The sequence below is a fragment of the Homo sapiens genome, chromosome 6 (assembly GCF_000001405.40).
Source record: "Homo sapiens chromosome 6, GRCh38.p14 Primary Assembly".
Lineage (NCBI taxonomy): Eukaryota > Metazoa > Chordata > Mammalia > Primates > Hominidae > Homo > Homo sapiens.
The window spans coordinates 44,158,758-44,185,726 of NC_000006.12; the positions used below are offsets into that span (position 1 = coordinate 44,158,758).

At 51.4% G+C, this 26,969-nt stretch overlaps 1 protein-coding gene across 12 annotated transcripts, besides 5 other annotated features; it reads left to right on the forward strand.

Moving 5' to 3' along the window:
- On the forward strand, positions 63–25,644 carry CAPN11 (calpain 11). Of its 12 annotated transcripts, none has more exons than XR_001743136.2 (24): positions 63–107; positions 8,001–8,072; positions 10,521–10,774; positions 11,149–11,218; positions 13,545–13,663; positions 14,183–14,316; positions 14,461–14,629; positions 17,311–17,394; positions 17,496–17,581; positions 17,824–17,898; positions 18,081–18,241; positions 18,485–18,663; positions 20,862–20,873; positions 21,195–21,406; positions 21,703–21,742; positions 21,840–21,905; positions 21,991–22,048; positions 22,176–22,240; positions 22,495–22,563; positions 24,184–24,272; positions 24,362–24,478; positions 24,687–24,790; positions 24,948–25,006; positions 25,149–25,644. XR_001743136.2 is itself a non-coding variant. In XM_011514274.2 (24 exons), exons 2-24 carry the CDS (start codon positions 3,140–3,142, stop codon positions 25,173–25,175), a joined length of 2,235 nt encoding a protein of 744 aa, XP_011512576.1. In that variant the 5' UTR covers positions 63–107; positions 3,033–3,139; the 3' UTR covers positions 25,176–25,644. The 12 variants fall into 12 exon arrangements, 6 of the variants coding, with proteins under 6 accessions (XP_011512576.1, XP_011512577.1, XP_006715047.1 ...); XR_926042.2 differs by having other exon boundaries at positions 24,184–24,262; XM_011514274.2 differs by lacking the exon at positions 24,687–24,790 and adding an exon at positions 3,033–3,167 and having other exon boundaries at positions 24,184–24,262.
- Positions 1,240–1,409: an enhancer, noted in NCBI's record as "experimental_91890 CRE fragment used in MPRA reporter constructs". NCBI's record gives its function as "activates a minimal promoter by MPRAs in K562 erythroleukemia cells, with activity observed for both the introgressed and non-introgressed 6:44127819 variant alleles {active_cell/tissue: K562}" and the evidence as "EXISTENCE:reporter gene assay evidence [ECO:0000049][PMID:34662402]".
- Positions 2,793–2,882: a silencer, noted in NCBI's record as "silent region_17255". NCBI's record gives its function as "represses an Ori minimal core promoter by ATAC-STARR-seq in GM12878 lymphoblastoid cells {active_cell/tissue: GM12878}" and the evidence as "EXISTENCE:reporter gene assay evidence [ECO:0000049][PMID:35858748]".
- Positions 7,981–8,863: an enhancer, noted in NCBI's record as "H3K27ac-H3K4me1 hESC enhancer chr6:44134475-44135357 (GRCh37/hg19 assembly coordinates)". NCBI's record gives its function as "activates a minimal SCP1, AML or CMV promoter by ChIP-STARR-seq in primed H9 embryonic stem cells {active_cell/tissue: H9 hESC(primed)}" and the evidence as "EXISTENCE:reporter gene assay evidence [ECO:0000049][PMID:30033119]".
- Positions 10,706–11,905: an enhancer, noted in NCBI's record as "CDK7 strongly-dependent group 2 enhancer chr6:44137200-44138399 (GRCh37/hg19 assembly coordinates)". NCBI's record gives its function as "activates an origin of replication core promoter dependent on BRD2, BRD4, P300/CBP, MED14 and CDK7 cofactors, with strong dependence on CDK7, by STARR-seq in HCT116 cells {active_cell/tissue: HCT116}" and the evidence as "EXISTENCE:reporter gene assay evidence [ECO:0000049][PMID:35650434]".
- Positions 17,896–18,598: an enhancer, noted in NCBI's record as "H3K27ac-H3K4me1 hESC enhancer chr6:44144390-44145092 (GRCh37/hg19 assembly coordinates)". NCBI's record gives its function as "activates a minimal SCP1, AML or CMV promoter by ChIP-STARR-seq in primed H9 embryonic stem cells {active_cell/tissue: H9 hESC(primed)}" and the evidence as "EXISTENCE:reporter gene assay evidence [ECO:0000049][PMID:30033119]".

Here is a 26,969-nt window from a genome sequence, read left to right on the forward strand (position 1 = left end):
TCCCACTGCAATGAGAGAGTTCTGGGGGGAGGGTCTCTTCTCCCCCTCCCACCAGAACCTTCAACTGTCAAGCACCGAGCTAGCCACCAGCATGCTGTACTCCCCAGGTAGGCACTCATGGGGCCTTGCCCCACTCCTGTACCTCCTGCAGGCTAGAGCCTCCCCCCAGGGGAGGAGCTGTGTCCCGCATCAGACTGGGTGCCCCTTGAGGGTACAGAGAGTGACTCTTCCATCAGACTGGATGCCCCTTGAGGGTACAGAGAGTGACTCTTCCATCAGACTGGATGCTCCCTAAGGACAGGACCTGGGCCTCGTTCTCAGACTGTTTGGGGAAGGATAGGCCACTGGTGGTCAGACTGGGTGGTAGGCCGGGCAGGAACTCTTTCTCCTCTCCACTGACAGTTGGAGTTGGGGAGAGGAGAGGGGCCGGCCATCCCACTGTCATGGCTGCTGGGGAAAAGGGTTTGTGTGAAAAAGCCCACGTAGAGAAGAAAACTTTAGGGAACAGAGAGAACCTCTCCTAAGCCTAGAAAAGCAGGTCCCTCAGCCCAGGAAGATGAGATCCTCAGGGTGGCAGGGGCAGGACTACCTGAGGCAAGCCTGGGACCAGACTCCAGGAGATGGGGGAGAGTGGGCTGGGGGGAAGGGGAGGGCTGGGCAGAACTGAGTTGTTCCTGTGGGGCTAGGGTGCACAGAGGGCAGCCAGCCTTGGCCAGCAGAAGGTCAGCCCTGTACCTCACCCTCAGCCTGGGGCACCGTGAGACCATGGGCCCCTAGACCCAGCCTCCCAGCTTCTCAGGCCCTCCCTGTTTACCTGACCCTAGGAAGTTTAGGCCTAGCTGGTGACCCCAAACCCAGTCCTTGTTCTTCAGAAGTGCCCTGAGCCCAGGAGTTCAAGACCAGCCTGGTCAGCATAGCAAGACCTCATCTCAAAATATAATTTATTTATTTATTATTATTACTTATTAGTATTTATTTTTTTTTAAAGTTCCCTGACACAACATCTTAGTTTTTTCCCAGTGCCGGAAATCAAACTGTCCTTAAATCTATAGTCCCCTAATAACAATGTATTGCATTTAGAAAATCACTGAGAGAGGCCAGGCACAGTGGTTCACGCCTGTAATCCTAGCACTCTGGGAGGCCAAGGCAGGTGGATCATCTGAGGTCAGGAGTTCGAGACCAGCCTGGCCAACATAGTGAAACCGTGTCTCTACTAAAATACAAAAATTAGCCATGCGTGGTGGCGGGCGCCTGTAATCCCAGCTACTCGGGAGGCTGAGGCAGGAGAATCTCTTGAACCCAGCAAGTGGAGGTTGCAGTGAGCCGAGATCGTGCCACCGCACCCCAAGCCTGGGCGACACAGCGAGACTCCATCTCAAAAAAAAAAGAAAATCACTGACAGTAGATTTTAAGTGTTCTCACCACAAACAAATAACAAGTATGTGCAGTAATGCAGATATTAATTAGCTCAACTGAGCCATTCCACAGTGAATACATATTTCAAAACACCATGTCGTATACAACAGATATATACTTTTTTTGTCAATAAAATAAAACTGATTTAGTTAAAAACGATCTGGCCGGGCGCAGTGGCTCACGCCTGTAATCCCAGCACTTTGGGAGGCCGTGGCGGGCAGATCACGAAGTCAGGAGATCGGGACCATCTTGGCTAACGCGGTGAAACCCTGTCTCTACTAAAAATACAAAAAATAAGCCAGGCGTGGTGGCGGGCGCCTGTAGTCCCAGCTACTCGGGAGGCTGAGGCAGGAGAATAGCGTGAACCCAGAAGGTGGAGCTTGCAGTGAGCCAAGATCGCTCCACTGCACTCCAGCCTGGGCGACAGAGTGAGACTCCGCCTCAAAAAAAACCTCAAAAAACAACAACAACAACAACAACAAAATGATCTGTAGGTTCTCAGTCTGATGGAGGAGACAGGATGTGCAGCTGCAGCAGAAAGCTTCCTGTCCATTCATGCCTTTTAACATGCAGCAGCCCCTGCTTTCCACGCAGTTTCAGTTACCCGCTGTCAACTGCAGTCTGAAAACATCAGGATATTTTGAGACAGAGAGACCACATTCACATTACTGTTATTGTATTGTTGTATTTGTTATATTTTATTACTTATTATGGTTAACTGCTTACTGTGCCTAATTTATAAACTAAACTTTATCATAGGTATGTACATAAAGGAAAGACATAGTATTGATATATACAGGGTTTGGTACCACCCGCAGTTTCAGGTGTCCACTGGGGGTGTTGGAACGTACCCCTAGGGTTAAGGGGAGCTACTGTGTTGCTCTGGCCATCTGTCTGTGCTTCCCACAGGCAGCCTTGGTCTGTCTGTCTCAGCCTTCTCACGCTCCTAGCCCATGTGACAGCTTGGATCTTTTGCCCTCTCTAAGGGGATATTTTCTTTTGGGTTTTTTTTTTTTTTGGTGTTTTTGTTTGTTTGTTTGTTTTGAGGTGGAGTCTCACTCTATTGCCCAGGCTGGAGTGCAGTGGCCCAACCTTGGCTCACTGCAACCTCCACCTCCCGGGTTCAAGCGATTCTCCTGCCTCAGCCTCCTGAATAGCTGGGACTACAGGCATGTGCTACCACACCCAACTCATTTTTGTGTTCTTAGTAGAGACGGGGTTTCACCATGTTGGCCAGGCGGGTCTTGAACTCCTGACTTCAGGTGATCCGCCCACCTCAGCCTCTCAAAGTGCTGGGATTACAGGCGTGAGCCACAGTGCCCAACTTAAAGACATTTTCCATGACAACTGTGGTGGTGTGGATAGGTGTGTCAGTCCTTCCTGCAAGTCAGAGCTGAGTAATGACCTCACACCCTGGGGACTGGGTATGCAGCTTCGAAGCAGGGTTTGGGGGCCAGACAGTGAGAAATGACTTGTTGGGCTGGATGGTGACTAGGGGACAGAGGGCTCTGGGGAAATGAGACAAGGGAGTTAAGATGGAACCTGAATTGCCTTGGCCTGCCCTCTGATGTTCTTTCAGTCTTCTCAAACAACAGCATCTTCCCTGGTCCTTCCAGGCCCCCAGGAGAGCTCAACACCCTCAGTCCTCGGAGCAGCCAGGGTAGAGGCTGCCTGGAGTGACTGCACGGTGCAAGGGCATGGAGTGGTTTGCCTTATCGTGTGAATGACCTTAGATGATTCGCTCAACCCAGGTTTGTCAACCCCAGCTCTCTTGACATTTTGAACTGGAAAATTCTTTATTGTGGAGACTTTCCTCTACACTGAGGGGCGCCCAGCAGCATCCCTGGCCTCTACTTACTAGATGCCAGTAGCTCCCCTGAGACCTGCCCCAGTTATGACAACCAACACTGCCTCTAGACGTTGCCACCTGTTCCCTGGGGGCCGTAATCACCCCGGGTTGAGAACTTCTGACTCAATCTCTCTGTGGAGGCCCTGGCTTCCACCCAGCTCAGATGGGAATAGTCATCCTGATCCGCCAGCTTCACAGATAGGGATCAGGGGCTGAAACAGAAGGTGTTCAGCTCTCCCCTCTCAGGACTGCTTTCCACCCTTCCCTCGGAACCCTCTTCATCTGAAAGGGGCTCCACTGTTTAACCCCGCCCCCGCAGCCCCCCTCACAGTCTCTTTGAATAAAGACACACACACACACACACACACACACACACACACACACACACCTGTAATCATAGCCCGAGGGGGTGAGGGAGCTTCCATTACCATTTCTAAGATAATCCCAGAGGGCTTGGGTTAGAAGAGACAGGGTTTGAGGAAAATGGAGGGAGAAAAGAGCGAGGAGAACTCCCAGACTCTGGCTCTACCCACCCTCTTCCCTGCTTCCCAGCCCTGATGCTTCCAGAACCAGGACGTCAAAGTGCACCCCACCCTCAGGGGAATGGGATGTGCTTAGAATAGGGAAAGGGGGATAGTCATTCCCCCACAGAACCTCCCTGATGATCCCATCAACCTGGTGGCCCCTTTTCATGGCACTTTCTCCTGTCTTTGCGGCCCATGGAGCTGAACCTGGGGGAGGAATCGCATGGGAGGGTCTTCTCCACGCTCCATGTTGGGGGTGCATTCACTTTGACCCCTCAGTACCAGCCCAGAATAAATTCTCCATAAAACATGCCTAACACGAGTTAGGGTTTGCTCTCAGGAGCTCAAACCAGTGGCAAAGACAGACAAGCACACACATGACTCCAATATTGGAGTAATATCACTAGTATCATTAAATCCTATGATGGAGGGACACATATGTGACACAGAGCATGGGCCATGTGATCCTAGAAGGAGCTCAACAAATACCAGTTGACCAACTAGGTCAGTGGGGAGAAGGTGAGTAACGTTTTCTGAGCACCTGCTAAACTCCAGTCTTTTTCACACGTTGCATTCTTCAATCCTGAAACACCCTCGCAGGTAGAATGCAGCAGCCTCTATACACAGGTGAGGAAACCAAGGCTCAGGGAGGTCAAACAACTTGCCCAAGGTCACACAGCTAATTCTCTGGCTCCAGTGCAGCCCAGGGCATTAGCTCTGCTAAAAAGGGACAAGCCACCCCTTTTCCAACACCTTTATCCATCCTCAACACCCCCTGTCAGCTGCTCCACACAGGGGAAGTGACTTCACAAAGACCACACACAAGTTGCAGTACAATGGACGAAGGGGCCGCACCAAGGCCAGTTGACTCACTCATCCCTCTCCAGCACAGCCATGGCTCCTCACCATGGCGACCTCCCAGCAAGGCAGCGAGCCTGATGGCTGAGAGCATAGAGCAGCCTGCCCTGACTCTAATGCCCACCGAGTCTGAGGAATTTCAGCCTCTCTCTGCCTCAGTTTCTCTGTCTATAGCAGGGAAGTTATAAGAGTAAGCCTAACCAGTGGGGTTGTTGGGATGATTCAATCAGCTAATGCACATCGGGTGTTTAGAATAGTGCCAGACATGTAGTGAGCCCTCAAACGCTGCTAACTATTATTATTTTTAGAAATGCTATATAAGTGCTCACTACTCATAACTGAGGCAGGATTCCTAATATCTTCTCATCACAAGTTACAGGCTCTGTGGAGAAGCAAAATTCAGGATCCTGAGTCTCCTCAACCTTATTATTTTTTGTTTGTTTGTTTTTGAGATGGGGGGTCTCACTTTGTCACCCAGGCTAGAGTGCAGTGGAAGGATTATGGCTCACTGCAGCTTCCAATTCCCAGCCTGAAGTGATCCTCCCACCTCAGCCTCCCAAGGAGCTGGGACCACAGGCACATGCTACCATGCCCAGTTAATTTTTTTTAATTTTTATTTTGTAGACACAGGGGTCTCACCATGTTCCCCTTGCTGGTCTCGTGAGGCTGAGGAGGGAGGATTGCTTGAGCTCAGGAGTTTGAGGTTGCAGTGAGCCATAACTGTGCCACTGCACTGCAGCCTGGGGAACAGGGTGAGACTCTGTCTCAAAAAAGTGTATCTATGTTGAACACTTACTATGTACTCAATACAGCAGCAGGAATACAGCAGCAAACAAAACAGACAAAAATCCCTGCCCTCACAGGCTTTCACTCATGAGGGAGGTAAACAATAAACAAAATATATAGTATATTGGGGTTGCTGCAGGATAGGGAGTAGGGGAGGGGTGGAAGAGAGAAAACATCTATGAACAATTAACCACAATACCAAGCAAGGCATCTGTTCATTCATTGCAAGCATTATTGAGCCAGCATTTTGAAACTCAGTAGTATACAAGGTGGCCTCACCCTCTCCTCTTGAGAGCTCACAGCCTCACAGAGGAGGCAGACAGGTCAACTCAGGGAAGGCAGGTAGTGATGGGTGTCCTAACAAAAGTGTAGGATGCTAGCGCAGCCCCAAGTTCTGCGCGGACACCACAGGGGAGGCTTCACAGAGGAGGCAGCATCAAGCAGGCACTGGGAGGCTGAACAGGACTTTTCCCCGGTGGACCCAGTGTGAGCATGGGATCAGGAATGATTGCAGGCAGAGGCACAAGGATGGGAAGAGGAATGAGGGTAACCTGTGCAGAAAGTCGTGGGGCCAGATGGCAGGTGGAAGCCTGGTTTGGGTTTGTCATGCTAACAAGGGAGAGACATCTAAAGTACTGGGGAGGGGGAGCGGTATGTATAATCAGGTTTGCATTTTATTTTATGTTATGTTTTATTTATTTATTTATTTATTTTTGAGACACAGTCTTACTCTCTGCCACCCAGGCTGGGGTGCAGTGGTGCTCTCTCAACTCACTGCAACCTCCACCTCCCAGGTTCAAGCCACCTCCTGCCTCAGCCACAGGAGTAGCTGGGACCACAGGTGTGCACCACCACACCTGGCTAATTTTTGTATTTTTAGTAGACACGAGGTTTCACCATGTTGGCCAGGCTGGTCTTGAACTCCTAGCCTTAAGTGATCCACCTGCCTCAGCCTCCAAAAGTGCTGAGATTACAGAGGTGAGCCACCATGCTGCCCCAGGTTTGCATTTTCAAAATCTCAGCTAACACTGTGGAGAACTAGTGGGGGAGGAGGATGTTAGAAGAAAGGGGCCAGTTGGGGAATCATTCTTTTGGCCTAGATTTTTGCTATTTAAGGTTAATTTATTGAGTGAGTTTTGTGTCAGAAACAAATGCAAACACTTTAGAATATCACCCATCTCACAGGTGGAGAAGCCAAGGCATGGGGAGATAAAGTGATGTTTTGGGAGGCCTCCCTGTGAGGGGATGCTTGGCTTCCAGTCCTTGCTTACTGCACTGGATGTGGCTCTGCACAGGGGCAGCCCCTATCGCGGGCTGTGTGGAGGAGGACAGGAGAGATGCTAAGAGGGTGCAGTAGACAATGCAAGGGACATAGTGACAGGGTCTGGGAAGATCCCCAGCTCACTGGCTAGGTGGAGGGAAGGGGAGGATGAGGTTGAGGAGACTGCTGGAGGGACTGTCTCTCCTGGGGCACAGAGCTCAGGAAAGCTGCTTGGACAGACAGGGTCTCCCCAAGTCTGGAACACTCAAGAGGGGTCAAAGGGATGGGTCTGTACTGGGAGTAGTGGGCCCAGGGCTGGAGGGGGCTCTGGGGGCTGGCCTTATCCTGCTGGCAAAGCGATGTCCTGAAAGTTTCCAGAAGCAGTAAAGGGTTCAAAACCTCACTCAAAGGGAGTTGGTGTGGTATGTGGTCGGGGGAGCATATGTGATGAATTGGAGAGGGTCTTCAGGAGACAAGAGGCCATTTGAGGTCTGGGGGTTGTCTGAAGGCCCTGGCCTCGGACAGTGATGGTAGCAATGAGAAATTAGGGTCCTAGGAGGGGATGCCCTTGTGAAGGACTCCATGACTGTTTTGATGTGGGATGCGGTGTGTTGGGATCTTGGGGGACCAGGAGAACAGGGGTTCATTATAGGACCTGAGGAAATCCCAAGGAGGTACTCGTGTGGAACAGGAGAAGGGGTTTGCTTGGGGCAGTGGCAAGAGGAAGGGGGATAAGTTCAGCAATGAATCATCTGTCGATGCCTTTGTTAACAGAGATGGGGCAGGTTCTGCCAGCCTTCAGGCTGAGGAGAAACACTTCCCTTCAGGAGGCTCAGCATAGAGTGAAGGTTGCTAGCTTGGTCCAGGGTCTGCAGTACGGATTTCACCCCGCGCCCAACCCTCACTCTGTGACCTCGGGCAAGCTGCTTAGCCTCTGGGCCTCTGCTCCCTTTCCCAGTAATCAGGGTATTGCAGGTACCCCCTTGTAGGGCTGGCGTGCCTGGCACAGAGAAGGTGCTCAGTGCTGTCAGCTCTGCTGTTATAACTAGTCTCTTGATTCTGTCACTCAGGGGAGGAGGACTAACTGAGACCTCCTGCTCTTGCTTCTGGGGGACTCACCCTTCTGTGGGCTCAAGCAGGGTCTCACCTCTAAACAACCCCAGAACCCTGCTGCCCTCCCTGTAGCTGCGCCCCAACCCAGTTCTTTTCCTCATTCTAAAATCTTCCTACACCCCAGCCCCAGCTGGGCTCTGTTTAACTTTAGACCACAGCCTTCCTCCCCTCCTCCCACTCTTTCTTATTCTAGGGCCGAGTCTTCCGGAGTCAGCAGAGAGCCTGGATGGATCACAGGAGGATAAGCCTCGGGGCTCATGTGCGGGTAGGACTGCAGACCCGTCGTGGCTCTGTGGCCTCCCTTTTTCTTCCTCCTCCTTCACTCTCTTCTCTTCCCCTGGGCCTGCTGGTGGGGGAAGTCAGTCATGTTGTGTGGGGAGGGCGGCGGGGGGAGGGGAGGCTACCCTCAGGAAGGGATGTTGGCAGTTTGCAGTCCCCCTGGGGGCGGAGGTGTGGGCAGGATGTCCAGAGTCCCAAGCCGCCTGGCAGGCCCGGGATCCATCAGTCAGCCTGACTCGACTCTTACCCTGACACTCGCCCAGTGCCACCTGCTCAGCCATTATCTGACCCGGTCCGACACCAGCAGCCCTTCCCTCTGCCCTCTGCTCTCTACACTCCATTATTTCCACTCTCCTTAAAAGAGCAGCATCTAGGCCGGGCGTGGTGGCTCATGACTGTAATCCCAGCACTTTGGGAGGCTGAGGCAGGTGGATCACCTGAGTTCGGGAGTTCGAGACCAGCCTGGCTAGCATGGTGAAACCCTATCTCTACTAAAAATACAAAATTAGCCAGATGTAGCAGTGGGCACCTGTAATCCCAGCTACTCAGGAGGCTGAGGCAGGAGAATCACTTGAACCTGGGAGGCAGAGGTTGCAGTGAGCCGAGATCATGCCACTGCACTCCAGGCTGAGCAACAGAATGAGACTCCATCTCAAAAAAAAAAAAAAAAAAAAAAAATAGCAGCATCTGTTTAGATGGTCTGGAGGCCATTAAAAAAAAAAAACAGCTTTATTGAGAGACAATTCAAATACCCTACAGTTCACCCATTTAAAGTGTACCATTTGGCTGGGTGCAGTGGCTCATGCCAGTAATCCCAGCACTTTGGGAGGCCAAGACTGGAGGACTGCTTGAACCCAGAAGTCCAAGACCGGTCTGGGCAACATAGTGAGATCCTGTCTCTACAAAAATTAGAAGTTAAAAAATCAGACAGGCATGGTGGCACACACCTGTGGTCCCAGCTACTCAGGAGGCTGAGATGAGAAGATAATTTGAGCCCAGGAGGTCAAGGCTGCAGTGAGCCATGATCAAGCCACTGTACTCCAGCCAGGGCAACAGAGTGAGACTCTGTTTTGAAAAAAAAAACAAAACAAAAAACCAAAGGATAATTCCAAAGTACAATTCCAGCTGGGTGTGGTGGGAGTACAAGACCAGCCAACATGGCAAGACTCTGCCTCTTAAAAAAAAATGGAAAAAAACCCAAAAAACAGAGTGTATAATTCAGTGGCTTTTAGTATATTCACAGTTATGCATCCAACACCACAACCAGTTTTAGATTGTTTTCATTATCCTCCCAAAGAAACCCCATACCCTTTAGCCATCAACTTCTAATCTCCTATCTCCTTAAGCAACAGGCAACCCCTAATCTACGTTCTGTCTCTCTCTATAGACATTTTATATAAATAGAATCGCGCAATATGGGGTTCTTTCTCTTTTTTTCTTTTTTGAGATGGAGCCTCACTCTGTCGCCCATGCTAGAGTTCGGTGGCACCATCTCGGCTCACTGCAACCTCTGCCTCCTGTGTTCAAGCAATTCTCCTGCCTCAGCCTCCCGAATAGCTGGGATTACAGGCGCCCGCCACCACGCCCAGCTAATTTTTGTATTTTTAGTAGAGACGGGGTTTCACCAGGTTGGCCAGGCTGGTCTCGAACTCCTGACCTTGTGATCCGCCCACCTTGTTCTCCCAAAGTGCTGGGATTACAGGCATGAGCCACTGCACCAGGCCAATATGGGGTTCTTTGTGACTGTCTTCTTTCATTTAAAAAAAATATTTATTTATTTATTTTTATTTATTTTTGAGACAGAGTTTCGCTCTTGTTGGCCAGGCTGGAGTGCAGTGGCATGATCTCAGCTCTGCACCTCCGCCTCCTGGGTTCAAGCGATTCTCCTGCCTCAGCCTCCCAAGTAGCTGGATTACAGGCATCTTGCCCCCACACCCGGCTAATTTTTTGTATTTTTCGTAGGGACAGGGTTTCGCCATGTTGGGCAGGCTGGTCTCGAACTCCTGACCTCAGGTGATCCACCCACCTTGGCCTCCCAAAATGCTGGGATTACAGGTGTGAGCCACCACACCCAGCCTATTTATTTATTTTTTTTTAGAGACAAGGTCTTGCTCTGTCACCCAGACTGGAGTGCCATCACATCTCATTGCAGCCTCAAACTGCCACAGCCTCGAACTCCAGGGCTCAGGTGATCCTCCCATTTCAGCCTCCTGAGTAGCTGGGACTACAGGCACACGTCACCATGCCCAGCTAATTAAAAAAAATTTTTTTGTCGAGATGAGATCTCACCATGTTGCCCAGGCTGGTCTCAAACTCCTAGGCTGAAGAGATCCTCCCACCTCAGCCTCCCAAAGTGCTGAGATTACAGGAGTGAACCACTGTGCCCAGCTTATTACATTTTTTACTTGCGTTATTTCTCTTTTTTTTTCTTAAGCAGAGCCCACTTTTACTGATACGGGAATGGTGGCTCACATAAACAACAGCCGGCTCAAGGCCAAGGGCGTGGGCCAGCACGACAACGCCCAGAACTTTGGTAACCAGAGCTTTGAGGAGCTGCGAGCAGCCTGTCTAAGAAAGGGGGAGCTCTTCGAGGACCCCTTATTCCCTGCTGAACCCAGCTCACTGGGCTTCAAGGACCTGGGCCCCAACTCCAAAAATGTGCAGAACATCTCCTGGCAGCGGCCCAAGGTGGGCACTGGAAGGGAGGCATGGACTCATGGATGGAAGGGAGCTTGTAGTGATCCCTCTATCACTTTTAGAATCTTCAATCTTCAACCCCCCACTACCCCATTCTGACCCTGGCACTAGGCCCCACCTTCATCAGAGCTGGGGACAGTTCTGAATATGCTTAAGCCAAACCTCCTAGGTAACCCTAAGGAAATCACCCACCAACCTCTGCTATCACAAGCTGCAGCTATGCCAAGTTGGTCCTGTACCCTCTCCCTGCCCCTCATATCTGTTCCCCTGGAACTTCAAGGTGGGCATCATTCCCCAGCAAAAGTGGGAGAAAGGTGGGGAGGGGGTGTCCTGGGCCCCCTGAAACCTTTATTCCTTCACTGCAGGATATCATAAACAACCCTCTATTCATCATGGATGGGATTTCTCCAACAGACATCTGCCAGGGGATCCTCGGTGAGTGGGGCACAGGAAGCTGGTCTCCACCTGGGCAAGAGGATTGGGGGAGGGGTGCCAGGGTGTCTTTTGAAGCTGGGAAACAGGGAGCCCTGAGGTCAGACAGCCTGCTTCTGTTCCCCTGTCCCTCCCCTTCTGAGGAGATGACAGTGAGAACACCGTGCATTCTTCCTGCCCCTCCCAAGTCTGGATGCCACTCCCTGCCTGCTGCAGCCTGGGTCTTGCGGGGGGAATATTAGTTACATTTGACTACATAATAAATTACCTAGGACTTAGCAACTTAAAAAAAAAATTTCTTATCTCACGGTTCCTGTGGGTCAGAAATTCAGAAGCAGAATCACTGGATGGGTCTAGTTCAGGGTTTATCAGGAGGTTACAGTCAAGACGTCTGCAACCTGTGATCATCTGAAGGCTCGCCTGGGGCTGGAGGGTCTGCTCCTAGGAGGGTGCACTTACGTGGCAGGAGCTCTCAGGTCTTTGCTGGCTGTTGGCAGGAGGCCCCAGTTCCTCACCACATAGGCTTCTCCATGGGGCTGCTTGAGTGTCCACGCAACGTGGTAGCTTGCTCTTCCAAAGCGAGTTATCTAAGAGAGAGGACAAGGAGGAAGCCATAATGCCTTTTCTGACCTAGTCTCAGGAGTTGCACATCATCACTTCCACCATATTCTATTTGTTAGAAGCAAGCACTGAATCTGGTCCACACTCAAGAGGAGAGGAATTAGGCTCTACCTTTGGAAGGGAGGATGGTCAAAGAATTTGTAGAAACCACTACAGGTGCTAGAACCCGATCAATCTGGGGTATCAAATAGGAGGGCAACGGGGTCTACTCAGCCCACTCTCACAGGGCTCCCATAGAAAGCCCCAGGGTAGATCTTTCTCCCTAAGTCTGGTCCCGTTCAAGGGTTTCTTCCAGATCCCTCGCTGCCTCTTTAGGGATAAAGCCAGGGTGGGCTTTCTCTGAGACTGAATTCTGTCCCCTTGGGGCAGAAAAAAGGGCAAGGTGTGGGCAGAGCAGAGGCCAAGGAGACCTTAGACCCCAGGGCCGCTGCTGTGGCCGCTGTGGCTCAGTAGGCTGGAGGGACAATGGGCTGGAGGAGGGAATTCACTTCTCCGAGGCACTCTAACAGTGAGGGGGATTGGAGCGCCCTTGATATTCCTCTCTCCAGGCAGCCAAGAGGCCATTGGTAATCATAGAAACTTTCTGCTCCCTCAACCTCAGCCTGGCGTAGGATGCACAGCACCCTGCCCCTGGACCCCACCCAGCAAGGGCTGAGATGCCTAGGAGACAGGTGGCAATGGAGGTCTGTAGTGCTCATCTCCCATAGGATTCCCTTTAGCCGAACTTCAGGCCAGGGACACTGCCTCATACCCACTTCAATGCCTAGCTCCAGGGACCCTGCTGGGGCACATACTGAGCCCTGGGTCCCCAATATAATGTGGGTGACATGAGGGAGAGACCTCTTGGGAACTTCGTGGCCACACCAGTGTACTCACAGGGTGCAGGAAGGTGACTGGATCTGTTGGAAGAATGTGGAGAGTATTGGCTCTGTCTCAAAGAAAGCAGGTTACTGGTCAGGTGCAGTGGCTCATACCTGTAATCCTAGCACCTTGGGAGGCCAAGGCAGGAGGACTGCTTGAGCTCAGGAGTTCAAGACCAGCCTAGGCAGCATAGTGAGACTCTGTCTCTACTTATATATAAAAATTTACTTTAAAAAAAAATAGGTTCCTAGAGCCTGAGGCCAAAAGTACCTCTTTTCCAAACTCAAGAAAAACAAAAGGATGTGTCTCTCACATAATAGAAAAGGTACAGCCAGGCACTGTGGCTCACACCTGTAATCCCAACACTTTGGGAGGCCAAGGCTGGCAGATCTCTTGAGGCCAGGAGTTTAAGACCAGCGTGGCCAACATGGTGAAACCCCATCTCTACTAAATATGCAAAAATTAGCCAGGTGGGGTGGCGGGCGCCTGTGGTCCCAGCTACTCAGGAGGCTGAGACAGGAGAATCGCTCGAACCCAGGAGGCAGAGGTTGCGGTGAGCTGAGATCATGCTATTGCACTCCAGCCTGGGTGACACAGCAAGACACTGACTCAAAAAAGAAAATGTACAGAAACTCACCTTACTAGAGTCTCTCCGCCTTCAGTTTCTCCCTGTTTACCTCCTTCCTGAACACTCTTTAGTGGGAGGGCTGAGGGAGGGTGCCTCTCCGCCGGGGGGGTGAGAATGGGGTACAGGGTCAAGTTCCTGCTCCCCTAGGCCTTGGATTCTGAGGCCCACCCACACATATGGGGTTGCTCAGGGGTGGCAAAGCCCTGCCTGTCTTTCCAGGGGACTGCTGGCTGCTGGCTGCCATCGGCTCCCTTACCACCTGCCCCAAACTGCTATACCGCGTGGTGCCCAGAGGACAGAGCTTCAAGAAAAACTATGCTGGCATCTTCCATTTTCAGGTGAAGGACAGTGTGAGAGCCACTGTGGCTTTGTTGGGGGCGGGGGAAGAATCATATATGCTTTGAAGTTTACCTTCTTTCCTTTTGAAAAATAGCATTTATTAGGGTGGGTTTTGGACTAATTATCAGAGAAATATCTGCCCACCAAAGAAATCATGTAAGCTAATTTTTTAAGTCCCAAAAGAAAATAGTTGTTAGCAATTTGTGGCTCTTTCTCCCTTCTCCTTCTCTTCCTCTCCACTGTGTGTGTGGGTGTGTGTGACACTGGTAGTCTCTGTCACATAATTTTTGTAATCTGCCCCTTTGACTTAGCAATGTGTGGACAAATTCCCCTCTGGAGACCGTGGCAGAAGCTGGAGAGGAGGCGGGGCCGGGCTCAGGCTTTGGGTTGCCTTTCCCTCTCTATTCAGTGATTCTGGAGAGTGGAGCCTCTGACACTGGCGTGTCATCAGGTCTGGCCACTAGGAGGCGCTTGATGATAGGGTTCCCACGCAAGGGGTGTGTGTTTGCTACCCACAGATTTGGCAGTTTGGACAGTGGGTGAACGTGGTGGTAGATGACCGGCTGCCCACAAAGAATGACAAGCTGGTGTTTGTGCACTCAACCGAACGCAGTGAGTTCTGGAGTGCCCTGCTGGAGAAGGCGTATGCCAAGTGAGTGCTGGGAGCTGAGGAAGGGGGCTTGCCTTGCCTCTGTCTGGACAGCTGGAATCAGGGGGAGGGGAGGGGGTAGCAGGACATCCCTCCCTCCCCTCACCTCCATCCTAGAGCCCAACAGTGCCTTCTCTGTGCCCACAGGCTGAGTGGGTCCTATGAAGCATTGTCAGGGGGCAGTACCATGGAGGGCCTTGAGGACTTCACAGGAGGCGTGGCCCAGAGCTTCCAACTCCAGAGGCCCCCTCAGAACCTGCTCAGGCTCCTTAGGAAGGCCGTGGAGCGATCCTCCCTCATGGGTTGCTCCATTGAAGTAAGCAAAGCATGGTCCCACCTCAGGGCCTTTGCACCTGCTGTTGCTGTCACCCAAAAGGCTCTTCCCCCAGTATCTGCACGGCCAGCACCTTCTCATTCAGTTCAACTGCCCTTTCCCCAGACTAGCCTTCCCTACCTCCCCGTCTAAAGTCGCCGTCCCCACCCTATTTACTTTCTTTTTGTTTTTTTTTGTTTGTTTGTTTTGTTTTTTTGAGACAGGGTCTCATTCTGTCTCCCAGGCTGGAGTGCAGTGGCAAGATCTCGGCTCACTGCAACCTCCACCTCCTGGGTTCAAGTGATTCTCCTCCCTCAGCCTCCCAAGGAGCTGGGATTACAGCCGTGTGCCACCCTGCCTGCGTAGTTTTTTGTATTTTTAGTAGAGAAGGGGTTTTGTCATGTTGGCCAGGCTGGTCTCGAACTCCTGACCTCAACTGATCCACCCACCTCGGCCTCCCATAGTGCTGGGATTACAGGCATGAGCCACGGTGCCCAGCCAGCCCTGTTTACTTTCTATCTGGTTTTTACTTTCTCCCCAACATTTATTGTGACCTGAAATTATCTTGCTTATCTATGTTTTCACTCATAGCCCATCTTCTCCAGATAGTAGTCACATTCCATGAGGGCAGTGACCTTCTTTGTCTCATTCACTGCTGGACCCTGGAACTTAGGAAGGAGCCCAGCATGCAATAGGCACCCAACCAACATTTGCTCGACAAAATACATGAACCCAGGGTGCTACATATGACCCTGCATTCTTGGCATTTATCCCAGAGAAATGAAGACATGTCTCCAAAAATGTTTGTACACAAATGTTTACAGCAACTTTATTCATTATAGCCCCGAAACAGGAAACAACCTAGATGTCCTTCAATGAGTAAATGGTTAAACAAACTGTTTATTACACACCGTGGAATACTACTTAGCAATAAAAAAGAACAAACTATTGATACTCAGAGAAACTAGGACAGATCTCAGGGGAATTATGCTGAATGAAAAAAGCCAACCCTAGCCAGGTGCAGTGGCTCATGCCTGTAATTCCAACACTTTGGGAGGCTGAGGTGGGAGAATTGCTTGAACCCAGGTGTTCAAGACCAGCCTAAGAAATATAGTGAGACCTCATCTCTACCAAAAAAAAAAAAAAAAAAGAAATTAATTAGCTGAGAAAAAAGAAAAAAAAAAAGACAATCCCCTCCAAAGGTGGTTACACACTGCATGATTCACGATATTCTTTTTTTTTTTTTTTTTTTTTGAGACAGAGTCTCACTCTGTCACCCAGGCTGGAGTGCAGTGATGCGATCTCGTTTCACTGCAACATCCACCTCCTGGGTTCAAGAGATTTTCCTCCCTCACCCTCCTGAGTAGCTGGGATTGCAGGCACCTGCTGCCATGCATGGCTAAGTTTTGTATTTTTAGTAGAGACGGGGTTTCACCATGTTGGCCAGACTGGTCTTGAACTCCTGACCTCAGGTGATCCGCCTGCCTTGGCCTCCCAAAGTGCTGGGATTGCGGGTGTGAGCCACTGTGCCTGGCCTTAAATGACATTCTTGAAATGACAAAATAATAGAAATTAAGAACAGATGAGTGGTTGCCAAGGTTTAGGGAGGTGGAGTCATGAGAAGAGATGGGTTTGGTTATAAAAGGGCGACTCAAGGGATGCTTGTGGTGATAGAAATGTTCTATATCTTGACAGTGGTGGTGGCTACATGAAACTACACATAATGGAATTGCATAGAGCACACAAAAGTGAGCACTTGTAAAACTGGGGAAATCTGTATAAGGTTTACAGATTGCATCCATATCAGCATTCTGGGCTGGGCACGGTGCCTCACACCTGCAATCCCAGCACTTTGGGAGGCTGAGGAGGACAGATTGCTTGAGCTCAGAAGTTTGAGACAAGCCTGGGCAACATGGCAAGACCCAATCTCTACTAAAAATACAAAAATTAGCTGGGCATGGTGGCAAGAGCCTGTAGTCCCAGCTACTCAGGAGGCTGAGGTGAGAGGCTCGTTTGAATCTGGGAGGTTGAGGCTGCAGTGAACCGAGATCACACCACTGCACTCCAGCCTGGGTGACACAGCGAGACCCTGTCTCAAAAATAATAATAAAGCCGGGTGCGGTGGCTCATGCTTGTAATCCCAGCACTTTGGGAAGCCGAGGTGGGCGGATCACCTGAGGTCAGGAGTTCAAGACCAGCCTGGCCAACATGGTAAAACCCCATCTATACTAAAAATACAAGAAATTAGCCAGGCGTGGTGGCGGGCGCCTGTAATCCCAGCTACTTGGGAGTCTGAGGCAGGAGAATCCCTTGAACCTGCGAGGCAGAGGTTGCAGTGAGCCGAGATCTCACCACTGCACTCCAAGAGCAACAAGAGCAAAGCTCTGTCTCAAATAATAATAAATAATAATAATAATTTTTAAAACGTTCTAGTTTTGATATTTCACTGTAGTTTTGCCAGATGTTACCACTGGGGGAACCTGAGTATGGGATACACGGGATTTCTCTGTATTATTTGTTACAATTGCATGTGAATCTGCAATTATTTCAAAATAATGATAATAATTTAAAAGTTTAGTTTAAAAAAATTAACCTGGAGAGCTCGCCCCTTCCTTTGGGTGCCCAGTCCAGGTCCTCCATGCCCTCCATGCCCTCCATGCTCTCCCTCCCTCTCTGTTCTGTAGGTCACCAGTGATAGTGAACTGGAATCCATGACTGACAAGATGCTGGTGAGAGGGCACGCTTACTCTGTGACTGGCCTTCAGGATGTGAGTCCTGAGAAATGCGCCCTACCCTGAGGACCCTGAGAAGGAGGAGAACGTCTCCCTGACCCCATAACTCTGACCTTTAACCACCCCCGCCCACCCAGGTCCACTACAGAGGCAAAATGGAAACACTGATTCGGGTCCGGAATCCCTGGGGCCGGATTGAGTGGAATGGAGCTTGGAGTGACAGGTAGGTGTCCCCAACCCAGGTGAGGGGTGGTCGGAGGATACAGCAGGCGGTGCCAGGTGGACCGACTGGTGTCCCATCTAGGAGAACAACCTGTACAACAGGGCAAAGCTCCTCCCTCTAGATTCTCCATCTAGCTCCGCACCCCAGCAGGCAGACATTCAGGGAAGAGGCAGTCCCCTGGAGAGGAAGGAGGTGCCACATGACCTCCGCCCCTCTCCTTCCACCGCCCATCTCTGCTCCAGTGCCAGGGAGTGGGAAGAGGTGGCCTCAGACATCCAGATGCAGCTGCTGCACAAGACGGAGGACGGGGAGTTCTGGTCAGTGTGGCTTGGGGTGGGCTTCTTACCACCACCCTAGGCCCTGGTCCTTCATCTCCCTGCTCCGCTCCTCTCTGTGCCTTGGATGGGGAGGCTTGGGGTGGTTGTGGGGGGTGGTTCAGGGAGAGGGAACTGAGGATGCAAGTGTGCTGCTGACGGGCTCCACCCCCACCCCACCACAGGATGTCCTACCAAGATTTCCTGAACAACTTCACGCTCCTGGAGATCTGCAACCTCACGCCTGATACACTCTCTGGGGACTACAAGAGCTACTGGCACACCACCTTCTACGAGGGCAGCTGGCGCAGAGGCAGCTCCGCAGGGGGCTGCAGGAACCACCCTGGTGGGTGAGGGGTGAGAGGGGAGGGGGTGTGCAGGGAGTGAAGGATGGGCCACGGCTCACCACGAAACCAGACCTGGGGCACGAGTCACCGGAGTCAGGGTCCATGAGGTCAAGGGTTAGTCAGATTTCACAGCCCCTGTGGAGGAGACAGCTCCAGTGTGGCTGGGGAAGCTCGGTCCACCCTGGGAAGGGCGTGGCCAAGGGAAGCCCCCGTATAACCACGCTGACCCACTTCCGCCACAGGCACGTTCTGGACCAACCCCCAGTTTAAGATCTCTCTTCCTGAGGGGGATGACCCAGAGGATGACGCAGAGGGCAATGTTGTGGTCTGCACCTGCCTGGTGGCCCTAATGCAGAAGAACTGGCGGCATGCACGGCAGCAGGGAGCCCAGCTGCAGACCATTGGCTTTGTCCTCTACGCGGTGGGTGCCTGGCTGGTCTCGCCCGCCACTCACTCTCCCTCACCTGACCTCACTCCTTTCTTTCTTTCTTTCTTTTTTTTTTTTCGAGACAGAGTCTCACTCTGTTGCCCAGGCTGGAGTGCAGTGGCACAATCTCCATTCACTGCAACCTCAGCCTCCCCAGTTCAAGTGATTCTCGTGCCTCAGCCTTCCCAGTAGCTGGATTACAGACGTGCACCACCATGCCCAGCTAATTTTTGTATTTTTAGTAGAGACGGGGTTTCACCATGTTGGCTAGGCTGGTCTGGAACTCATGACCTCAGGTAATCTGCCTGTCTCGGCCTCCCAAAGTGTTGGAATTACAGGTGTGAGCCACCACACCCGGCTGCCTGGCCTCACTCCTTTCTCCCCAGGGCCACTTCCTGCCTGGGAGAGGGACAGGCTCCAACAGGCTTCACAGCCCTGATTTTTTTTTTAAGACAGGAGCTCAATCTGTTGCCCAGGTTGGAATGCAGTGGCGTGATTACGGCTCACAGCGGCCCTGACCTCCCAGGCTCAAGCAATCCTTCCACCTCAGCCTCCTGACTAGCTAGGACTACAGGCAATTGTCCTGCTAGTTTTTTAAAATTTTTCGTAAGATAGGGTCTCACTATGTTGCCCAGGCTGAGCCCTGACTCTTGAATGGTGCTTTGTGCCTTTCAAGCCAGAGCCGGCAGTTTTCTCTTCACAGATTTCATCCTTTGTGCCAGGCATTGTTCCAAAGGTCTTAGGAATACTAACTACTAATGCCTTTAAGGAAGCGGAAGGAGCCTGCGGGCCAGAGACATGAAGTCACTTGCCCAAGCTCACACATCCAAGGGTCAGAGGCCAAGCCTGTGTCCTGATTCCCAGGCGCTCTGAGACTTCTCCACACGCCCCGCCCGACAATCCATCCCCCTTGTCTGCCCCACCAGCAGTACTCACTCCAGGAGCCAAGAGAAAGCCCTGATAAGCATTTCCCAAGCCAAACCATGCTTTGCAAAATTCTCCACATTCTCCAAAAGAATGTTGTTCATTCACTTGCATTCCCTTATATAAGCAAGTATTTATGGAGCATCTACTGTGTGCCAGGCCCCTGTCCAGTCTCCAGGGGTTCAATAGTGAGCAAAACAGACACAAGCCTTGCCCTACTCTTAGGGCCATTAGTCCACCAGGCTAACAGACTGGTGCCTCAGGATAACATTTTTGCTGGGGGAGGTGGCTCATGCCTATTATCCCAGCACTTTGAGAGGCCGAGGTGGGAGGATCACTTGGAGGATGCCCAAAGAATTTAACACCAGCCTGGGCAACACAGCAAGACCCTGTCTCGATTAAAAAAAAAAAAAAAAAAAAAAATTAGCCGGGCATGGTGGCACACACCTGTGGTCCCAGCTACTCGAGAAGCTGAGGTGAGAGGATCACTTGAGCTCAGGAGGTCGAAGCTGCGGCAAGCCATGATCGCACCACTGCTCTTCAGCCTGGGCGCAGAGTGAGACCCTGTCTCAAAGACATCTTCAAGGTTAAAAAAGCTCAGGAAAGACTACTGCAGCCTGAGCTCTCCGGTGCACACAAGCACACTGAGGTGCTGATAAGCCACCTCTGCAATAGAGCAACCTGTTTAACTTGGTTTAACTCACATTTTTACAAACTTATTTGTCCTCGATCCTCAATTTTAGTAATCTTCTATTCACTTCCTGCAGGATATGAGTGTTCCACGGAAAAGCAAAACACTGTCCTAGATTTTTATCCTAACTCTTTCACTTTTCAGCCATCTGAGGTTGGACAAATCACCTCACATCTTTGGGATTCTGTTTCCTTCCCTTAACCTGGAATGATAAAAATCTACCTTGCATAAACTGTACTTTCCTATCCAAAGCTGAAGGAATTTTTTTTTTTTTTTTGAGACAGGGTCTCACTCTATTGCCCAGGCTGGAGGGCAGTGACATGATCGTGACTCACTGCAGCCTTGACCTCCAGCTCAAGCAATCCTCCCACCTCTGCAGCAGAGGGATTGTTAATGCCAGGACCTTTGAACTGTCAGAGCCCGTGCCCCACTCCACCACCAGTATCCCAGTGCCCTTAATACCCCTCCAACAACACACACACACAGACACACACTATACACATCCCACTTGGCTTCTGAAGGCCTGAGGCCCTTCACCACCCTAGAGATCTGACTCTCCTCTTTCTTCCCTTCCCAGGTCCCAAAAGAGGTACAGAAGATAAAGATGTGGGGCTTGTTCCTGGACACATACCCACTCCACCCCTGGCTGCAAGTGGATTGGCAAAGGGTGGAATTTGGCGAGAGGCTCTGGGGGTCACTGGGTTAGGATTCCAGCCCTCTTCAGGGCTGGTAGGGGTCGGGAAAGGAAGAGACCCTGTTGGAGTTGCGGGCCACTTAGATGGTGTCCAGGCCAGGTCAGTTGGTGGTGGCACCTACCTCCAACCCTGCCCGGCCAGGCTGTTCACCCTGGGGGACCCTCCCTCCCTAACCTCCCATGCCAGTCCTGTACCCACTTCCAGGATGCATATAGTTTCAGAACATTCAGGATGTCCACTTGAAGAAGGAATTCTTCACGAAGTATCAGGACCACGGCTTCTCAGAGATCTTCACCAACTCACGGGAGGTGAGCAGCCAACTCCGGCTGCCTCCGGGGGAATATATCATTATTCCCTCCACCTTTGAGCCACACAGAGATGCTGACTTCCTGCTTCGGGTCTTCACCGAGAAGCACAGCGAGTCATGGTAAGGGGCTGCAGCTCACTGCTCCAAGGCCCGCCACCCAAGAGCTGCAGGATATCAAGCTCAGGGAGCTGCTGTCGGGTCCTCCCTCACTTTGTCCCTATTTTACAGTCAGGGAAACTGAGGCATGAGAAGGTGAAGTCCCAGTTAGTGGCAGAACCAGAACTAGAACTAGAACCCATATTCCATGGAGCTGCCCTATATTGCTTCAAAGACATGACATGACCCCCAGAGCACCCCACTAAAACCCCCACCTCCCTCCCCCTGGTAACTCTTGAGCTTTCAATCATTTTGCCCAGGGAATTGGATGAAGTCAACTATGCTGAGCAACTCCAAGAGGTGAGGGGAGACTGTAGGGCTGGGGGTTGGAAGGAAGCTCCTGGGCCTGTGAAAGAAGTTTTCTGACCAGGTCCCTTTCCTGCTCCCCGGCCCCCAGGAAAAGGTCTCTGAGGATGACATGGACCAGGACTTCCTACATTTGTTTAAGATAGTGGCAGGAGAGGTGAGCAGGCCACGAGCGGAGGGCTGACAGGAGGGGGATGAGGGGCTGGAGGGGCCCGAGTGGGGTTCACAGTTCCCCTTCCTAGGGCAAGGAGATAGGGGTGTATGAGCTCCAGAGGCTGCTCAACAGGATGGCCATCAAATGTGAGTCTTCCACTCCTGCTGCACACGACCCCTCCCCCATATTTTGTGCCCCTCTTGATCACTCCCAGTGCCCCCACGATACCTCATTTACCCTGTCTCTCCTTTCTACCCCTTCCCTTCCTCACAGTCAAAAGCTTCAAGACCAAGGGCTTTGGCCTGGATGCTTGCCGCTGCATGATCAACCTCATGGATGTATCCTCCTGTCCAGTGCTCTCTTGGCCCTGTCCCCTGCCCACAAGCCTGGCCCAGAGATGGCCACCCTGGGCCAGCCACGTCCTCCTCCCTGATGGGGATTAGGCTCTGGGGTAGCAGAAGATGCCAGTTCTTCTGGCTGCTACAGTACCGGAACCCCAGGGCTTGTGTGTCCCCTCAGGAACCCCCGCTGCTTCCCTATCCCCTGGGATGCCTTCTTCACTCCTTCTCTGCTGTCCTTGACCACCTTCCAGAAAGATGGCTCTGGCAAGCTGGGGCTTCTAGAGTTCAAGATCCTGTGGAAAAAACTCAAGAAATGGATGGTAAAGGGCACTAAAGGGGCAGCCTCCAGGGGTGAGGAAAAGAGGGTCTTAGGAGAGATGGAACTAATGAGGGGAAGCTAGAACCCAAGCCCTAACCACACACACACACACACCCAACCACACCACACTCACACACACACACACACACTCACATACAGACACAACCACACCACACACACACACACACACTCACATACAGACACAACCACACCACACTCACACACACACACACTCACATACAGACACAACCACACCACACATACACACTCACATACAGACACAACCACACCACACTCACACACACACATACACACTCACATACAGACACAACCACACCACACTCACACACACATACTCACATACAGACACAACCACACCACACTCACACACACACACACTCACAGACACAACCACACCACACTCACACACACACATACACACTCACATACAGACACAACCACACCACACACACACATACACACTCACATACAGACACAACCACACCACACACACACACACTCACATACAGACACAACCACACCACACACACACATACACACTCACATACAGACACAACCACACCACACTCACACACACATACACACTCACATACAGACACAACCACACCACACTCACACACACACATACACACTCACATACAGACACAACCACACCACACTCACACACACACATACACACTCACATACAGACACAACCACACCACACACACACATACAGACACAACCACACCACACACACACACACATACACACTCACATACAGACACAACCACACCACACACACACACACATACACACTCACATACAGACACAACCACACCACACTCACACACACATACACACTCACATACAGACACAACCACACCACACTCACACACACACATACACACTCACATACAGACACAACCACACCACACACACACACACATACAGACACAACCACACCACACACACACACACACACACACACACTCACATACAGACACAACCACACCACACACACACATGAAAAGGGTCTGTTGGAGTGTGGCATATTACCCAGTCAAAATATTTTATAACAAGTATAGCTCAGGTATCATCTAGTCATGAAGGATGCACACAAAGAGCGCTGGGCAGGGCACCAGTGCCCCCGACAACCCATGCTTGGAATTAACCCTTAGGTCACCAGATGATAGGAATATCAGGAGTGGGCCAGGGTTGGAGGGGGGCATGGGGTCTTAGGCCACTGCTGTGAGCCAACTGTCCTAAAGTATTTCTTTTTCTTTTTTTTGAGACGGAATCTCACTCTGTTGCCCAGGCTGGAGTGCAGTGGTGCGATCTCTGCTTACTGTAACCTCCGCCTCCTGCCTCAGCCTCCTGACTAGCTGGGATTACAGGCATGCACCACCACACCCAGCTAATTTTTGTAGTTTTATTAGAGACGGGGTTTCGTCATGTTGGCCAGGCTGGTCTCAAACTCCTGACCTCAGATGATCCGCCTGCCTCGGCCTTTCAAAGTGCTGGGATTACAGGCATGAGCCACCGCGCCCGGCCTCAGTATTTCATTATTTCAACCACCATGCCATGCATGTGGCCCTACCATATCTGTCTGTCTCTTCAGGACATCTTCAGAGAGTGTGACCAGGACCATTCAGGCACCTTGAACTCCTATGAGATGCGCCTGGTTATTGAGAAAGCAGGTGGCCAAGGGTCAGGAGTGGGCCTTGGGGCAGGGAAGAGGATGGCAGTGTCCAGAGGCCCAGACTTTTCCCCTCCCCACTTCTCTCTCCCTCTCTCAGGCATCAAGCTGAACAACAAGGTAATGCAGGTCCTGGTGGCCAGGTATGCAGATGATGACCTGATCATAGACTTTGACAGCTTCATCAGCTGTTTCCTGAGGCTAAAGACCATGTTCAGTGAGTTAGGCATCTACCCACTCCCCAGCCTAGGCCAGGGGCCGCGGGCCCTTTCCCAAACACCCACCCTGATGGGTGCTGCTCCAGATCCCCTCCCCCTTACAAGGCACACATGAAATGGATTCAAAGCCCAGCTCCGCCACTTGCTGGCAGAGGTGACTTGAGCAAGTCACTTAATCTTTCTGTGCCTCCATTCCCTCCTCTTTAGAATGTGGATAATAATAGTACTGCCCTCAAAGGACTGAGGTGCAGGTTAAACCAGTTAGTCTATGGAAGGCAATCAGAACTGGGCCTGGCTCCTGGTGAGGCTATGTGAGTTGCTATCATTAATTCCCCACTTGGCTAGGGGATTTATGTGGGGAACAGCCAGGAACACCTGGTGTCGCCCCTTCCTACCTAGTTGGGAGTGGTTCTTTCGGAACACTGACTTAGCATTCAGCCCCTCTCCCCCGCTTCCTCTGTAACGCAGCATTCTTTCTAACCATGGACCCCAAGAATACTGGCCATATTTGCTTGAGCCTGGAACAGGTACTTGGAGAAGGGTGGGAAGGAATCTGCAGGATTGCACCTGCCTGCCCCTCAACCCCACCCCCACCCAGCTCTGATGTCCCCGGGCCAGCATCCTGCCCCCGTCTCTTCCCACCCTGGGATCTGCTTCCTGTCTCCACAGTGGCTGCAGATGACCATGTGGGGATAGAGGCGCTGTAGGAGCCTGGTCATCTCTACCAGCAGCAGCAGCAGCGAGGTTCTAGCCCAGGAGGGTGGGGTGCTTCTTGTAGCCCTCAGCTCTCCGGTCTCTGCTGATGAAATGGGCTCCAGGTGGCAGTGCCCGGGTCCCAGGTGCCGTGTTTACTGCAGCAGTGGGACCTCCGTGCCCACTCCCCCAGCTCAGAGGCTTTCTCTTTTTTCCCCAACCCGGCTTCTGATGGCTGGCTTTCCCCCACCATCGCTCTCTCAGAGTATATTTTACTAAAGAGTAGTTGATGCTTCCCCAGGGTCCCCCTGGCTGGGGAGGCCAAGAATAGGGAAGGGACTTGTAGCCCGTTTCTTACCCTCCATGCTTGCTGTCCTGCTCACACCTACCTGCTGACCACCCATCCTGGCACAGCCTCTGTTTTCCTCCCCATCTGTGGATACTATTCTAATAAATAGCACATGCCATTGGCTTCCATGTCTCTGTGTTTTTATGCCAAGAAAAGACTGGCAAGGGTGGAAGTCACTTACCCAGGACCAAAGGATTGGGTAGCTCTCAGCCAAGGGTGATAGGGAGCATATAGAAATGTGCAGTTGTCACAATAACTAGAGGCCATAGTTGGCGTTTATGGGCAGTGCCAGATGCTAAGCACACAAGTCCCTCCCTGTGAAGAACTGTGTGGTGTGCCCTATGGTGGAGCGCTTCTACGGGGGCTGAGCCAGGGCTCCAGGACTCTCATCTGCTGCTTCAAACTGGGGTCCCCAAAGGTGGCACTGCAGGAGCCTCGAAGGTTAAAAATCTGACACCTGCAGCCAGCAGGTCACATAAATGAACGAACTGCCGGGCGCGGTGGCTCACGCCTGTAATCCCAGCACTCTGGGAGGCCAACGCAGGTGGATCACCTGAGGTCAGGAGTTTGAGACCACCCTGGCCAACATGGCAAAACTCCGTCTCTGCTAAAAATACAAAACTTAGCTGGCCGTAGTGGCACGCGCCTATAATCCCAGCTACTTGGGAGGCTGAGGCAGGAGAACTGCTTGAACCTGGGGGGTGGAGGTTGCAGTGAGACAAGATCATACCACTTCACTCCAGCCTGGGTGACAGAGCAAGACTCTGTCTCAAAAACAATTTAAATAAATAAATGAACAAATCCTCCTCGTGTGGGACTGGGAAGGCTGAGGACTGTGGCAATAGGTGAACTCGTTCCTGCCTTAAAGGTGTTCAGATTCAAATCATTATTATTATTGTTAGAAATTTGTTGCCTGTCCACTTACTAAAACCTCCCTTAACTATCCTCCACCTTATCCAGAGAAGCTTCTTCTTTTAGAAAATCAAGCAAAGCAACTAAGTCAAGACATGTTAAAAAAAAAAAAAGTATGAAAAGAAAGCTGTAAGGAAATACAAGGGGAGGGATTGTTAGATATGAGTTCTAAATTTCTTTTCAAAGAATTAATATGTCAGTATGTTCAATTCTTTGCCTTCTATTTTTAAACTTCACTTCCTCGTAAAGCAACCTTTTCAATTACCTATTCCACCCTGACTCATTCCGATCACCTGCTCCACCCTAATTTATTCCAATCACCTGCTACCTGCTCTGCCCTGACTCCCACCAAAGCACTCACCCTGTCAGTCTCTTTAAATTAGTCAATCAGAATTAGTTTAGCCTGTGCGGTCTAACCCTAGCCAATAGGGGAACGACACAGCAGCAGGGGCCACGTGCATCAGGGATAAGAACCCCTTCCCCTCCCTTGTCCAAATGTGTGCTCACCATTGTTCCATCTATAAGGGCGCACGCTT

Coding starts and splice junctions, on each gene's coding strand:
- CAPN11 (XM_011514274.2), top strand. CDS start 3,140: ATGACCTTAGATGATTCGCTCAACCCAG. Junction 11,219..13,544: donor CATCTGCCAGGGGATCCTCG/GTGAGTGGGGCA, acceptor CTGTCTTTCCAG/GGGACTGCTGGCTGCTGGCT. Junction 17,899..18,080: donor ACGGAGGACGGGGAGTTCTG/GTCAGTGTGGCT, acceptor ACCCCACCACAG/GATGTCCTACCAAGATTTCC.